General features: G+C 35.6%; 1 long non-coding RNA gene and 1 pseudogene across 1 annotated transcript in view; both read right to left on the reverse strand.

Annotated features, from left to right (window-relative positions):
- LOC102724465 (uncharacterized) overlaps window positions 1–18,266 on the reverse strand; it is a 379,687-nt gene that overhangs the window by 132,599 nt on the left and 228,822 nt on the right. The window lies entirely within an intron of this gene.
- RNU6-185P (RNA, U6 small nuclear 185, pseudogene) lies at window positions 17,416–17,522 on the reverse strand (annotated as a pseudogene).

An 18,266-nucleotide genomic window follows, 5' to 3' on the forward strand; every position in this document is an offset into this window, starting at 1 on the left:
TTTTTTCATTTGCTTTCCTGAAAGAAATGCTGTTTCTTCATAGTATGACAATACCTTTATGTATCTTCATAAAATCTACTAGTTTATATTTTAGATATTTTTCGTGTATATTTATACATTTTTGCATTTGTATTTAAAAATAATCTTGATTTACTTTAGAATTTTTTCATGTGTATTTTATACTTTTTGCATGTGTATTTATAAATAATATTCCTGATTTACTTTATCTAATATTCATTTACTTTAAGAAGGAGCTTTAGGCCAAATGCAGTGGCTCATGCCTGTAATCCCAGTACTTTGGGAGGCTAAGGTGGGCAGATCCCTTAAGCCCAGGAGTTCAAGACCAGACTGGGTAACATGGTGAACCACCATCTCCACAAGAAATTCAAAAGTTAGCTGGGTGTGCTGGTACGCATGTATAGTCCCAACAACCTGGGAGGCTGAGGTGGGAGGATCACCTAAGCCCACGAGATCAAGGCTGCAGTAAGCCATGTTCATGCCATTGCACTCCAGCCTGGGTCAGAGTGAAACCCTGTCTCAAACAAACAAACAAACAAACAAAAGCTTTACTGAAATGCAATTTACATACTATAAAATTCACCCATTTTATATATACAATTCAATGACTTTTAGTAAATTTATAATTGTACAACCATCACCACAATCCAGTTTCCATCACCTTGAAAAGATGTGCCCATGTGCAGCCAATTTCTGTTCCTCCAGTTCCAGGCCACCACTAACCTGTTTTCTGTGTCTACAGAAACAGAACATTTTATGTAAATAAATCTTACACTATGTGGTCTCCACGTCTTGCTTCTTTCGCTTGACATAATGTTTTTCAGGTCATGCATGTTTCAGCATGTATTACTATTTCATTCTTTTTTATTGTTGAATCAACTTTCTTTTTAAAAAAATGTATCTATTTGAATTTTGGAATTAAAGCTAAAAAGCCTTCTTAAAATGATCTGAGAAAATTTTTCATCTTTTTGGTGGTGTGTAATAGTTTTTCCCTAAAGATGAGATAGAATTTTGCTATGAACCCATGTGATGACTTTTTCAGTATGAGATATGTAATTGTTTATTCATTTTTTATAGTAATTGATCAATTTAAGTTGTCACTTTTGGGGGGATAAATTTTAATAACATCTTTTTCTAAAAAATAATCCATTCTCCTAAGATTTCAAATGTTTGTCATGTATTCTGTTATCCTGTTAATTTTTTCTCTACCATTGTGTTTGTGATAATACATTTTTTTCAGTCTTAATCCTGTACTTTGTTTTTTCCCTTTATTGCTCCTTTTCCTCCTCCTCCTCCTCAAATTCCTCCTATTTCTTCTTTTAGGTATCTCATCAGGCTCATGAGGTATTTTATAATTTTTCAAGCAATATCTGTTTTAACGTCTATAACCTTTTTGCTATTTTTAGCATTAATTTTAATTAATTTCAACTTTTTAAAATAAATTCTTTCTTCTTAGTCTTTTTTTTTGGTTGTCTTGTTTTGTTGATGTTCTTTTTCTAAAATCATGAGATGAGTAATTTAGATTCAATTTAGATTTTGTTATTATATTTTTATTTACAATTTCATCAAAATGCTGTTTTATATTTTTGTTAAATACTCTTTTCATTGCTTTCTGGAGTCTGTGTTGTTGGTTTGATCTTCTTAATGATTTAAGGAATATCTATTCCAATATCTATTGGAATTGTTTCTCAATTTCCAAGTGGATGACATTATTCTGGTAATCTTTGAATGTTATATTTGGCCTATCAAATCTTCTTGGCAATCAGGTTTAGCTCAATTTATGTAAATGTCCCATGAACCTACAGAAAATGAATATTATTTCTTTTACGCATATATGGGCCTACATTATTGAATATAATTACTATATTATTAATTTCCTTCATGTCCTTAATTTTCTCTGATTTCAAAATTAGTGAAATATTCTCCTACATTGAAGGCTTATCAAATTCTCCTTGATTTTCTAACAGATTTATACATATAGCCGTTATTTAGTATGTAGAAGTTTATGATAGAAGTATCTTCAACATTAGTTATCTTTATTATCATTATATTATGCCCCTCTGTTTGGTGTTTTTAATAGTTCATTTCACCTAGATTGTATTAGGTAAAATGTAATTGCCACTTCTGCTGTTAGTTTTGTTCTCATTTGCCTAATATCTCTCTTTATCTCTTACTTTTTTAATTTTAAAAATGTATTAAATATATATTTTTAAATAACTAGCACATTTTCATCCAATTTTTAACACTATCAATCTCTTGCTTCTAATGGAAGAATTTAATTCATTTCTAAATTTATACATTAATTGTATTCCTGCCATCTTTATATTTACTACCTAATGTCTTTAGTCATTTCCTTTTTTATTTTCCCTGGTTTTGGTTTGTTTGTTTTTTTCACCAATTTACTAAAGTTGGTATTTATTTCATTTCTTGACTTTTAAATTTAGAAACTGTAGTACACGCTTTACATTCTAACTGATCACTTTCCCTTTTCAAGGACTCATAATCGGACCCTATTTATCTACTAATATGATTCGCACTCTTTCCTATACCTAATATTCCATTAACCTCATCTCCTTACCCTTCTATGAGATGAAATCTTACACTACTTTTATCTTTCTTCTTTCCTTCTTGCCACTGTTCAAGTCTCACACGGACGACATTTTTAGAATACTTCTTCCCTTTCCCTGCCATCTACCAACCGACTCTGGTTTCACAGAGCTAATGAAATATGTTCAGATGTAATCTATTATAATTTCCTTGCAGATGCTCCATTTTAATAAACCATATTATTATTCTATTTCACATTACTAGAAAGTCTGTCACCATCCATTTAGATTTATATGTGTAAACCAGGGTTCTTTGCTCACCACATTTCTCTCTTCCTCCCTTTTCCTTACCTTGAGATCTCTATTATGATGGATCTGTTTGTTGGAGTTGGTCATTGAGTGTTTTCTTCTGATGGACTGAGCGATCTATTCTTTGAATTCTAATGTCTTTGTAAATATATTTCTTTTACTCCCAAGAGACAAATAATAACTTGACTAGGCACAGGATAGTTTAGTTGTAGTCCTTCCTCTCAGTAGTCTTCAAATATTATCCCAAACTCATCTAGCTTCCAGCCTTTTAGACAATCAGAGAGCAATGGCGGTCTCATTTTTCCATTATAAACATTGTTATGTACAAAATTGTGTCCCACAAAATGTTGTATGTTGAAGCCCAATTCCAATGCAATACATTTGGAGATAGGGCCTTTTGGGAGGTAACAGAGGTTAAACGACATCATTAGGGTGTGGTCATAATCAAATAGGACTGATAGAAAGAGAAAAAGATGCCAGATCTCTCTGTCTCTCTGTCTGTCTCTTCCTCTCTCTCTTTCTTTGCTTGTGCACCCAGAGGAAAGGCAACGTGAGGACAGAGCTGTCTGCAAGCCAGAAAGAGGCATCACTAGAAACCATCTCTCCTGATGCTTTGATCTTGAACTTCTGGCCACAAGAACTGTGAGGAAATAAATTCATGTTGTTTAAGCCAACAAGTCTGTCATTCTGTCATGGTAGCCCAGGCCAAGTAATACAGGTCCTTTTTGCTTTTTATCTGAAAGCACTGGAACTCTATAATTTTATTAGAATGAACTTAAGTGGGTGTGTCTTTTATCACCAAATCTCACTGGAACTTCTGTCATTTTAATTTGCCCTACCCACATCCCTCAGGGAAATCTTCCTATAGGCACTTATTGCTTCTCTCTCTCTTTTTTTTAATCCTCCTGAAATCCTATTATTTGTACTTTCGGTCGCTGAGGTTTATTCTCCAAATCTCTTATCTGTTATCTCATGTTTTTCATCTCTGTGTAATTTGAGATGTTTCTTCCAAATAGTGTTTCAGGTTATGAATTTAGGTCTCGGCAGTGATTGACTATCCTCTCAACCAATTTATTTGTTACTTTTTGTTTATTTCAGAAATCATGGTTTAGAAGACCTAGACAAGTATTCTGAGTACTGCACTACAATCTCTTGTTTTATTCAAGAAATTCAAACACATCTGCCATTTTTCTGTTTCCATAAAAAGTCTAGTTCCACCCAACTGACATCATAATATATTCCTACATTCTTCATTCAAAAAAATAACATAACTAATATTGTCCAGGGTATCTGTAGATGGGTATAGGGTACTTAGTTAAGAAAATTAACATAATTATTACCCTCATTGAGTTTATAGTCCAGTGGTATAAACAGGCATCATACAAACCCATAAATGAATATCTGCAAACAAATTTTAAGATATGCCATAAAAGAAAATAAGAGTACAAGATAAAATAACAGGGCAGGGTAGTGGTATAGTAATAATTACTGTAAATAACATGGCTGTGAAAACTTCTCTGAGAAGTGAAATTTAATCCAAGAATAAAGGATGAGTTGGGAGACTAAGATTTAAGTGGAAAAAGATTAAAGAAAAAGTTTATAAAGATAGTGAGCAAGGAATTGAAAGGAGGCCACCACAACTGAAACAAGCTGGGCTTTGAAGGTTGCTGTGGTGTGAATGTGTCCCTCAAATTTCATGTGTTGGAAACTTAATCCCCAAATTCTTACATTAATTGGTGGTGGGGGTCTCTGGAACATAATTAGGATTAGATGAGGTCATAAGAATATGGCCCTGATGATGGGACTGGTAGCTTTATAAGAAGAGGGAGAGAGACCTGAGCAGGACTGCTCTTGTCCCCTCACCATGTGATATCCAGTGCTGTCTCAGGACTTTGCTGAGAGTTCTCATCAGCAAGAAGGGCCTCACCAGATACAGTCTCTTAAACTTGGACACTTGGACTTCTCAGCCTCTGGAACTGTAAGAAGTAAATTTATTTTTTTTTATAAATTACCCAGTCTTGGGTATTCAGTTACAGCAACCAAAAAAAAAAAAAAAAAAAAAAAAAAGAAAGACAGGCATTGTGTAACAGTGTAGTATTCACTGTAAGAGCATGAAAAGTCATTGTCATTTTTAAGAGCAGAGTAATATCATCCCACTTTCATATAAAAAGGATGACTCTGGAGGTTGTTTGAAGAATAGACTGGAGTGAATGAATCATGGCAATTTATAAGGAAACCTGAGATTTTAGAGTTATCTAAACCAAAGGTTAGCAAACTTTTTCCATAAATGACAAAACAGTAAATATTTTAGGCTTTGGATTACATATGGTCTCTGTTGTAACTCAACCACTACTGCAGCATGTAAACTGCCACAGATAATATATAAATGAATGACTATAGCTGTGTTTTGTTAAATTTTATTAAAAGGAACAGGTAGTAAAGCTAAATTTGGCCTGCAAGTTGTAGTTTGCTGATTCCTGATGTAAACATTTAGAAATTCCTTTCACTCATGCCAAAAGATTATCACTAAGATGTTAATTCTGAAGTTCTGTGATGTATCCCATAGACTAATCACAGTGACTGGCACGTGGTAGTTGTTCAGCAAATACTTGCTGAAAAAATAATCAGTGTAAAGAACCATAATATTTAAACTTGTCTAATCAGAAAACAAATTTGTTTAGTCATTCCCTTGGCTTGGTGTCACTAAACCAGCTTTCTGCCCATATCAGAGCATATTGCAGAGTGACTAAAAGTAAGCAGTGCTGGACAATTAGCTTAACGGGTAAGATATTTCAAATTTGCCTTGGCTTGTAATCCTTTCTAATATTCTATATTTCCTTATCAATAAAGAGAGTCTACATATGAAAGAACTGCATCCCCATTTATCTTAGAATACATTACAGTCTACTTTTGATGTTAGGATACAGTGAAATAGATTCAAGTTCTTCACTTATTCCCTATTTGATATATAAAATTTATGTAGTAATGTTATTAATCTTATGAAATTTGAATGCTGGATAATTGGAGGGTATATGGGTCTAAGCAGCATTCCCAACACCAAGATGTTGGGAGAGTATGGGAAAATCTGGTGCATACATTACCAATGAGTAGGAGACATGTTCTAAATTCCAAGACCCCACAAACAGAATACATGATTACTAGATAGGACCTTGAAGGTTGAGCAACTCTGAACTGGGGATGATTTTGAAATCAACGCGTCCATTACCCCCACTTTCTTGAAAATAGTCCTCTCTGTGCTTATTATGAGATGTCACTTGTGAAGGTGACAGGTGTTTGCTAGGCTGAGATGAAGACTGGGAAAGATGTTGCAATGTTTATAAAAGCTTACTCTGTGTAAACCTTTCTCAGAATTTATTCCTTTTTAGGTCAGCTTAAGATGTCATATACGAGGGACACCATGGCCTATAAAAACTCATAAGAATCTGCCAGCCAGGTTGGACTTTTTCCTCATTATAGTCCTTGAGAGACGCCAGGAATCATAGCTATGAGCACTATTTATTATTTATTTATTTTACTTGTAAGAAAAACATCACTACCAACTCATGGTAAGCTCGTATAATTATAATAGCTTATTTTTCAAACCTTGAGAAGCTTTTTAAAAATTTTTCAAATTACAAAATAAATGTGTTTTCACAGAAGAAAATTTTCAAAATGCACATGTAAAAATAAAAAAAATACCACCATGTATTTTTTCGAAATCAGTATCATGGTGAAAGCATTATTTGTGACCTGCTTTTAAAAACTTTATAATACAGCATACGCATGTCATTAACAATTCTTCTAAATATCAAAATACATTCGACAAATCATATATCTTTGGATACACTGGATACATTGGTTGACGCTAGGTTTTTACTATTACAAATGATAGTATAAAGAATATTTTTGTATAATATATTAATTTCCTAAGCATTTTCTTAGCATAAATTTAGACTTGACCCACGCCTCTAAATTACCCTGCATAGAGTTAATGATGTATTTATCCCAGCAGTGTTAAGAGATTAGCAGTTTTAATATAATTTCACCAAAACTGAATCTTGTCTTCAGTTTTTTTTTTTTTTCAAAGAGACAATAAGGGGGGGAGGAGCCAAGATGGCTGAATAGGAACAGCTCCAGTCTACAGCTCCCAGCGTGAGCGACGCAGAAGACGGGTGATTTCTGCATTTCCATCTGAGGTACCGGGTTCATCTCACTAGGGAGTGCCAAACAGTGGGCGCAGGTCAGTGGGTGCGCAAGCCAAAGCAGGGCGAGGCATTGCCTCACTCGGGAAGCGCAAGGGGTCAGGGAGTTCCCTTTCCTAGTCAAAGAAAGGGGTGACAGACAGCACCTGGAAAATTGGGTCACCCCCACCCGAATACTGCGCTTTTCCCACAGGCTTAAAAAACAGCGCACCAGGAGATTACATCCCGCACCTGGCTTGCAGGGTCCCAAGCCCACAGAGTCTAGCTGACTGCTAGCACAGCAGTCTGAGATCAAACTGCAAGGCGGCAGCGAGGCTGGGGGAGGGGCTCTCGCCATTGCCCAGGCTTGCTTAGGTAAACAAAGCAGCCAGGAAGCTCCAACTGGGTGGAGCCCACCACAGCTCAAGGAGGCCTGCCTGCCTCTGTAGGCTCCACCTCTGGGGGCAGGGCACAGACAAACAAAAAGACAGCAGTAACCTCTACAGACTTAAATGTCCCTGTCTGACAGCTTTGAAGAGAGCAGTGGTTCTCCCAGCACGCAGCTGGAGATCTGAGAACGGGCAGACTGCCTCAAGTGGGTCCCTGACCCCTGACCCCCCAGCAGCCTAACTGGGAGGCACCCCCCAGCAGGCGCAGACTGACACCTCACACGGCCGGGTACTCCAACAGACCTGCAGCTGAGGGTCGTGTCTGTTAGAAGGAAAACTAACAAACAGAAAGGACATCCACACTAAAACCCATCTGTACATCACCATCATCAAAGACCAAAAGTAGATAAAACCACAAAGATGGGGAAAAAACAGAGCAGAAAAACTGGAAACTCTAAAAAGCAGAACGCCTCTCCTCCTTCAAAGGAACGCAGTTCCTCACCAGCAACGGAACAAAGCTGGACGGAGAATGACTTTGACGAGCTGAGAGAAGAAGGCTTCAGACGATCAAATTACTCTGAGCTACGGGAGGACATTCAAACCAAAGGCAAAGAAGTTGAAAACTTTGAAAAAAATTTAGAAGAATGTATAACCAGAATAACCAATACAGAGAAGTGCTTAAAGGAGCTGATGGAGCTGAAAACCAAGGCTCGAGAACTACCTGAAGAATGCAGAAGCCTCAGGAGCCGATGCGATCAACTGGAAGAAAGGGTATCAGCAATGGAAGATGAAATGAATGAAATGAAGCGAGAAGGGAAGTTTAGAGAAAAAAGAATAAAAAGAAACGAGCAAAGCCTCCAAGAAATATGGGACTATGTGAAAAGACCAAATCTACGTCTGATTGGTGTACCTGAAAGTGACGGGGAGAATGGAACCAAGTTGGAAAACACTCTGCAGGATATTATCCAGGAGAATTTCCCCAATCTAGTGAGGCAGGCCAACATTCAGATTCAGGAAATACAGAGAACGCCACAGAGATACTCCTCGAGAAGAGCAACTCCAAGACACATAATTGTCAGATTCACCAAAGTTAAAACGAAGGAAAAAATGTTAAGGGCAGCCAGAGAGAAAGGTCGGGTTACCCTCAAAGGGAAGCCCATCAGACTAAGAGTGGATCTCTCGGCAGAAACTCTACAAGCCAGAAGAGAGTGGGGGCCAATATTCAACATTCTTAAAGAAAAGAATTTTCAACCCAGAATTTCATATCCAGCCAAACTAAGCTTCATAAGTGAAGGAGAAATAAAATCCTTTACAGACAAGCAAATGCTGAGACATTTTGTCACCACCAGGCCTGCCCTAAAAGACCTCCTGAAGGAAGCGCTAAACATGGAAAGGAACAACCGGTACCAGCCGCTGCAAAATCATGCCAAAATGTAAAGACCATCGAGACTAGGAAGAAACTGCATCAACTAATGAGCAAAATCACCAGCTAACATCATAATGACAGGATCAAATTCACACATAACAATATTAACTTTAAATGTAAATGGACTAAATGCTCCAATTAAAAGACACAGACTGGCAAATTGGATAAAGAGTCAAGACCCATCAGTGTGCTGTATTCAGGAAACCCAGCTCACGTGCAGAGACACACATAGGCTCAAAATAAAGGGATGGAGGAAGATCTACCAAGCAAATGGAAAACAAAAAAAGGCAGGGGTTGCAATCCTAGTCTCTGATAAAACAGACTTTAAACCAACAAAGATCAAAAGAGACAAAGAAGGCCATTACATAATGGTAAAGGGATCAATTCAACAAGAAGAACTAACTATCCTAAATATATATGCACCCAATACAGGAGCACCCAGATTCACAAAGCAAGTCCTGAGTGACCTACAAAGAGACTTAGACTCCCACACAGTAATAATGGGAGACTTTAACACCCCACTGTCAACATTAGACAGATCACGAGACAGAAAGTCAACAAGGATACCCAGGAATTGAACTCAGCTCTGCACCAAGTGGACCTAATAGACATCTACAGAACTCTCCACCCCAAATCAACAGAATATACATTTTTTTCAGCACCACACCACACCTATTCCAAAATTGACCACATACTTGGAAGTAAAGCTCTCCTCAGCAAATGTAAAAGAACAGAAATTATAACAAACTATCTCTCAGACCACACTGCAATCAAACTAGAACTCAGGATTAAGAATCTCACTCAAAACCGCTCAACTACATGGAAACTGAACAATCTGCTCCTGAATGACTACTGGGTACATAAGGAAATGAAGGCAGAAATAAAGACGTTCTTTGAAACCAACAAGAAGAAAGACACAACATACCAGAATCTCTGGGACACATTCAAAGCAGTGTGTAGATGGAAATTTATAGCACTAAATGCCCACAAGAGAAAGCAGGAAAGATCCAAAATTGACACCCTAACATCACAATTAAAAGAACTAGAAAAGCAAGAGCAAACACATTCAGAAGCTAGCAGAAGGCAAGAAATGACTAAAATCAGAGCAGAACTGAAGGAAATAGAGACACAATAAACCCTTCAAAAAATTAATGAATCCAGGAGCTCGTTTTTTGAAAGGATCAACAAAATTGATAGACTGCTAGAAGACTAATAAAAAAAGAGAGAAGAATCAAATAGACACAATAAAAAATGATAAAGGGGATATCACCACCGATCCCACAGAAATACAAACTACCATCAGAGAATACTACAAACACCTCTACGCAAATAAACTAGAAAATCTAGAAGAAACAGATAAATTCTTTGACACATACACTCTCCCAAGACTAAACCAGGAAGAAGTTGAATCTCTGAATAGACCAATAGCAGGATCTGAAATTGTGGCAATAATCAATAGCTTACCAACCAAAAAGAGTCCAGGACCAGACGGATTCACAGCTGAATTCTACCAGAGGTACAAAGAGGAACTGGTACCATTCCTTCTGAAACTATTCCAATCAATGGAAAAAGAGGGAATCCTCCCTAACTCATTTTATGAGGCCAGCATCATCCTGATACCAAAGCCGGGCAGAGACACAACCAAAAAAGAGAATTTTAGACCAATATCCTTGATGAACATTGATGCAAAAATCCTCAATAAAATACTGGCAAACCGAATCCAGCAGCACATCTAAAAGCTTATCCACCATGATCAAGTGGGCTTCATCCCTGGGATGCAAGGCTGGTTCAATATACACAAATCAATAAATGTAATCCAGCATATAAACAGAACCAAAGACAAAAACCACATGATTATCTCAATAGATGCAAAAAAGGCCTTTGACAAAATTCAACAACTCTTCATGCTAAAAACTCTCAATAAATTAGGTATTGATGGGACGTATGTCAAAATAATAAGAGCTATCTATGACAAACCCACAGCCAATATCATAGTGAATGGGCAAAAACTGGAAGCATTCCCTTTGAAAACTGGCACAAGACAGGGATGCCCTCTCTCACCACTCCTATTCAACATAGTGTTGGAAGTTCTGGCCAGGGCAATTAGGCAGGAGAAGGAAATAAGGGGTATTCAATTAGGAAAAGAGGAAGTCAAATTGTCCCTGTCTGCAGACGACATGATTGTATATCTAGAAAACCCCATTGTCTCAGCCCAAAATCTCCTTAAGCTGATAAGCAACTTCAGCAAAGTCTCAGGATACAAAATCAATGTACAAAAATCACAAGCATTCTTATACACCAACAACAGACAAACAGAGAGCCAAATCATGAGTGAACTCCCATTCACAATTGCTTCAAAGAGAATAAAATACCTAGGAATCCAACTTACACAGGATGTGAAAGACCTCTTCAAGGAGAACTACAAACCACTGCTCAAGGAAATAAAAGAGGATACAAACAAATGGAAGAACATTCCATGCTCATGGGTAGGAAGAATCAATATCATGAAAATGGCCATAGTGCCCAAGGTAATTTACAGATTCAATGCCATCCCCATCAAGCTACCAATGACTTTCTTCACAGAATTGGAAAAAACTACTTTAAAGTTCATATGGAACCAAAAAAGAGCCCGCATCGCCAAGTCAATCCTAAGCCAAAAGAACAAAGCTGGAGGCATCACACTACCTGACTTCAAACTATACTACAAGGCTACAGTAACCAAAATAGCATGGTACTGGTACCAAAGCAGAGATATAGATCAATGGAACAGAACAGAGCCCTCAGAAATCACACCACATATCTACAACTATCTGATCTTTGACAAACCTGAGAAAAACAAGCAATGGGGAAAGGATTCCCTATTTAATAAATGGTGCTGGGAAAACTGGCTAACCATATGTAGAAAGCTGAAACTTGATCCCTTCCTTACACCTTATACAAAAATCAATTCAAGATGGATTAAAGACTTAAACGTTAGACCTAAAACCATAAAAACCCTAGAAGAAAACCTAGGCATTACCATTCAGGACATAGGCATGGGCAAGGACTTCATGTCTAAAACACCAAAAGCAATGGCAACCAAAGCCAAAATTGACAAATGGGATCTAATTAAACTAAAGGGCTTCTGCACAGCAAAAGAAACTACCATCAGAGTGAACAGGCAACCTACAAAATGGGAGAAAATTTTTGCAACCTACTCATCTGACAAAGGGCTAATATCCAGAATCTACAATGAACTCAAACAAATTTACAAGAAAAAAACAAACAACCCCATCAAAAAGTGGGCGAAGGACATGAGCAGACACTTCTCAAAAGAAGACATTTATGCCGCCAAAAAATACATGAAAAAATGCTCACCATCACTGGCCATCAGAGAAATGCAAATCAAAACCACAAGGAGATACCATCTCACACCAGTTAGAATGGCAATCATTAAAAAGTCAGGAAACAACAGGTGCTGGAGAGGATGTGGAGAAATAGGAACACTTTTACACTGTTGGTGGGACTGTAAACTAGTTCAACCATTGTGGATGTCAGTGTGGCGATTCCTCAGGGATCTAGAACTAGAAATACCGTTTGACCCAGCCATCCAATTACTGAGTATATACCCAAAGGACTATAAATCATGCTGCTATAAAGACACATGCACACGTATGTTTATTGCGGCATTATTCACAATAGCAAAGACTTGGAACCAACCCATATGTCCAACAATGATAGACTAGATTAAGAAAATGTGGCACATATACACCATGGAATACTATGCAGCCATAAAAAAGGATGAGTTCATGTCCTTTGTAGGGACATGGATGAAATTGGAAATCATCATTCTCAGTAAACTGTCACAAGAACAAAAAACCAAACACCGCATGTTCTCACTCATAGGTGGGAATTGAACAATGAGAACACATGGACACAGGAAGAGGAACATCACACTCTGTGGACTGTTGTGGGATGGGGGAGGGGGGAGGGATAGCATTGGGAGATATACCTAATGCTAGATGACGAGTTAATGGGTGCAGCACACCAGCATGGCACATGTATACATATGTAACTAACCTGCACATTGTGCACATGTACCCTAAAACTTAAAGTATAATAATAATAAAAAAAAACAAAGAGACAATAAGTATCTAATTTTAGTTTCATTTGCTTTGATTTTAATTAGTTGAATATTTTTTCAAGTCTTGTCATTGATATTTATTTTATAAATTACTGATCTTTTATTTCTCCTTTGTATATTTATTTTATATAGTTATAATTTTATTAGTCGTTCATCTATTACAGACATTTACATGTTGTATTTTCTCAGTTCATCATTTGTATTTATTGTTATAAAGTTTTTAATATGTAAAATTTCAAATTGCATTCATTAATAGCCCACATTTATGTAGCTGGTCTATAGACTTCAGATTGTACTAAATTTTTAACACATGCAATTTTATTTAATCTTTAAACCACCTTTAAAATGCATACAATAAGTATCCTTATTTCATTGGGGAAACTGAGCCACAGAGAGGTTCAGTGTCTTTCCCAAGTTGCATACCAGTTATTATATGTTAGAGCTTGGTATTTAAAATTAGAGAATCTGATTCTAGAGTTCTTTTTATTGAATATTTTCTTTTTTCTTTTTTCTTGAGGTATTTGCCTAGAAAGTCTTGACCCACTCTAACACTGGATTTTTTTTGTTAATTTCTTACACTCTTCTCTTTATCTAACCCTTCACTTTCTTTTTTTCCATTCTCTTTTTCTTCTTCTTTACCATATTTCCGTTCCTTCTTCCCCAACTTCTACATTCTCTTGATTTTATCTGGAATTGATGTTGCTATGGTAGGATGAAAGTTAGTTCTCCAAATAGTTAACCAATTATGTCTGAACTACTTATTAAACAATCTAGCACTTTGTCAATAATTTGAATGCTAAATGTATCATATGAATAACAGATATACTTGGATGTGTATTTTATTTTATTGTTCTATTGTTATTGTACTAATGCCACATGGTTTAAATATTCTGTAATATTTTATTATCTGAGAGTGTAAATACTTTATCACAATATTTTTTCAAAATTGTTTTACTACTAATGATTATATGTTTTGCCATATAAACCTTTTCTTGCTTATCAGTTTTCAAATAATGAGTTGATTTTCTACATCTCCAAAGGTAAACAATAAGGGTATTTTTGTGTTTTGTTTTTTGATATTATAAACTGATGAATTTTAAAATACTGCTGTGTTTTAATATCCTTATTAACACTCAAATTTTCCATTTTTGGGCAGTGGAAGCCTCTTAAAATTTTATCTGAATGATTTTGAATCAAACTCCAACTGCCTTTTGTAACTTTCATACTTTCAATGATCTAGACTCATTTTCTACCTCAAATCAGGAATCAGTCGTATCTTCAAAGATCCCCGATTAATGTTGTGATTAAGTTTATGAGCTGAGCATTAGGGGTGCTCATTGCTATTGCTTTAGCCATGATTTCAAGTATTTGTTTTCCTGCCAAAGAAAATACAGTATGAGTTCATACTGATATTTTCACTGAAATGTGGGATTAAACTTCTTGGCATTTCTTATTTGATTTTAGATATGATCTCTTCTTTAACATTGAAAGTCTTTGTTTATTCACATAATTATTTTCTCTACACACACACACAATTGACTAACAATAAGCTTTGGTGTGTTTATGTTTTGTTTTAATTATTGTTATCTTCTGCATTTAATCCGTTAAGGGCATGCAATAAAATTACCACATTTTAAAGTTATTTGAAACAGTTTCTCTCTGCATCATTTTTCCAACAACTCAATTCAAAGATTGTTTTTTTTAATTATTAGCAATTCCTTTTTTAAGTCTTATGTAATTTTGTTTCAAAAGTATATGCATTTACATGGTGTTAAAGTCAAACCTACAAAACAAAATGTATTAGAAAAGTCTAACTTCAATCCTGTCTCTGCTATTCTCTGTTAAAAAAAATTCAGTTTTTTCTTCCGTTTTTAAGTAAAGGATTTATATGTATATATATCCTTTTATATTCCATATCTATCCAGTTTAAAAATAAAGGATTTATGTACATATACCCTTTAATATATATTTATATGTACATTAAATATACATATGAATATATGGATATATATAGATATAAATTATATATTAGTCCCTTCTTTCTCAATTAAATGTTGTGCCATATTATACAAAAATGTTTCCAATAGTTTTATTGTTTTTTACTTAATACATCCCCAAAGATAATATAAGAGCAGCAGCATACAAATATATGTTTAATTACACACTAGAATAATACTTCATTGTGTATTCATAGTTTAGTTAGTTTTGTTTTGTTTTTATTTTTATTTTACCTTGGTGTTTTCTTTTATTGAATCATACAAAATTGTTTGTATGATTTATTAGCTAAATAAATCTTTTAGCTAATATACCTTTTAAGAAACAACCGATTTCAAAACATTCAGCAGCTTCTCATTTTTATGTAGCATTTTTTTTAACCTGTAGCATATTTTTTCAAAACAAAACTCTTAAATAGATGTGCTTTGAAAGTTAACGGATAATGATTTGATTTATATCATAGCTTAAGAGAACAATTAGTTTAAAAGGACAGACTAGACATGTGTTTCTTTAAAAAAAATACAATTTTTGATCAGGTGAATTCAAGTTCAGATTTAAAAACAGACAGCATCCTAATGTGCCTCCTTTTATTTATAATGCCACTTCTTGAAATTATAGTGATCTACAGTGTGAACAGTAAAGCAAATAATTTCAAACTATATTTTTATGTACATTTAAAGCCCTTTAGGATTATGTACCACGATTAAGTACGTGGACTGAAACCAGGGCACTTCCAACATATAGCTCATGCTTCTATGTGATTATTTTTAAGAGCAAACTTAGAGGCATTCTTTTTCCTCCACCCCCAACTGAAACAATTTTCAGCTACAGAGGAGAGCTGCTACCTCACTCCAGCAATGAAAAATATTACTGTGAATCCAATTTGACCAGCCAGTTTCTCAAGATCCTTTTTTATTTATTTATTTGTTGTAGAGATGGGTGGTCACTATGTTGCCCAGGCTGGACTCGAACTCCTAGGCTCAAGATACTCCCGACTAAGCTTAGAGTAGCTGGGGCCACAGCCACCTACCACCACACCCTGATCTCATATGTTGTCACTCCCAGCTAACTTTTTTTTTAACTTTTTGTAGAAACAGGGTCTCGCTATGTTATCCAGGCTGGTCTCAAACCCCTGTCTTGGTCTCCCAAGGTGCTGGGATTACATGTGTGAGCCACCACGCCCAGCCATCAAGACCCTTTTTTATTTTATTTTTATTTTTTTAAATTATACTCTAAGTTCCAGGGTACATGTGCACACCGTGCAGGTTCGTTACATATGTATACATGTGCCTTGTTGGTGTGCTGCACCCATTAACTCGTCATTTACATTAGGTATATCTCCTAATGCTATCTATCCCTCCCCCTACTCTCAACTTATCAGCACAGTTTTACGTTCTCTTTCTTTCCTTCTTCTTACAAAAACAAAACATCAAAACATATAGGAGGGCATCCCTGCTGGCCTGTTCATCCTGCAAGGTTTCTCGAAAAGGCAGAGCCTGTTGCAACACCTTCTCTGGTCAGCCATGCAGGGTGAGCAGACACCTGTGCTTGGCCTCACAAAGCAAAAAGGTGGACCTAGAACCCACTCTTCCCACAGCAGAGACAGAAGGTTAAAAAGTAACAACAAATCACAAAGTGACTTCAAGCATATTAAAGAAATCAATGATTTAGTGTCTTAAACGCATGTTCTCACTTTGAAGTGGGAACTAAATAATGTGTACATGTGGACATAGAGGTTGGAATAATAGACCTTGAAGACTAGGAAAGGTGGGAGGGGCAGGGGGTGCTAGGGATGAGAAATTACTTAATGGGCACAATGAACACTATTTGGGTGATGGTTACACTGGAAGTCCAGACTTCACCACTATGCAATATATCCATGTGGCAAAACAGCACTTGTATCCTCAAATCAATAAAAATAAAAAAAGAATTAAAAAATTCACTGGTCTCCTTAAACTAATATAGACAACTTTGTGAGCCACAGTCTTTGAAAAAATTATAATCGTAATTGGCCACACTCCATTGTTTCATATATATATACACACACACATATATATATACACGTGTGTGTATATATATATATATACACACACACACACACATATACACATACACACACACACACACACACATAATCTTGAAATGGTGTGATTTAGATTCTGCCTTGGCCTGAGCTCTAAGGGCTACACTTACCCATCTGGGAATTGTAGCACAGGTTTACCTTACTTTTCTTTTTTTTTATATTTAAATTATGTTAAGTATTCAGGAGGCTGAGAACACAGACTCCCTCTCCCCTATGATCGTCTATACTTAGGCTAAGAATTAAACAAGAACCTTTGTGTTCAGCTAGTGACAAAACAAAACTGAGCCCAAAACAGGTTGCCATAAGCATGCTGGCTTTGCTCAGTGTTTAATGTTTTTTTTTAAAAAAAGCATGGAACACTTCACGAATTTGAGTGCCATCCTAGTGCAGGAGCCATGCTGATCTTCTCTGTATTGTTCCAGTTTTAGTATATATGATACAGAAGTGAACACTCATAGCTTATTTATAACTAGTCCCCTATAGATGGACACTTGGGGACATAGTCTTTTACTATGACAACGAGTGCTGTAATGAACATCTTTGGGAATATGTCGTTTTGTACTTTTGGAACGTATCATTGTGACAAATTATTAGAAGCAAGATTGCTGGGTCAACGGGTCAATATGTATGCATATGTTACATGGATATATAATTTTGCTAGATGTCACCATATTGCTTGTGTAATTTAATATATCCATTGCTAATCTACAAGAGTGTGTATGTCTTTGAAGTTTCACAAGTAGTGTGCTTATCAACCTTTTGGATTTCGGCAATCTGGGAGGAAAGTAATGGCATATCAGTGTCGTTTTTAAATTTCATTTTTCTTACTATAAGTGAGGTTGAACATCTTTTCATAAGTTAAGGACAATTTGTTTTTTACTTTCTGTAAATCAATGTCTTTATATATCTCATGCATTTGTCTTGTTGTTTCTTATGTTTTTAGAAGTTCTTTTTATGTTAAGATTACTGACTCTTCTGGTGTGTTTTGTAAGTAAGTTACAAACTATTTTGGTACTTGCAAAAATTATACATATAAATTATACATTAAAATACATAATATTATACATTAAAAATTATACATATATTAGAAATATTTACATCATATTATAAATATATATGATATAATCTATATATTATATCCTATTAGATTATATCATATATAATTATATACATTTATATACATTCATATATCTCAA

This window comes from Homo sapiens, chromosome 15 (assembly GCF_000001405.40).
Source record: "Homo sapiens chromosome 15, GRCh38.p14 Primary Assembly".
NCBI lineage: Eukaryota > Metazoa > Chordata > Mammalia > Primates > Hominidae > Homo > Homo sapiens.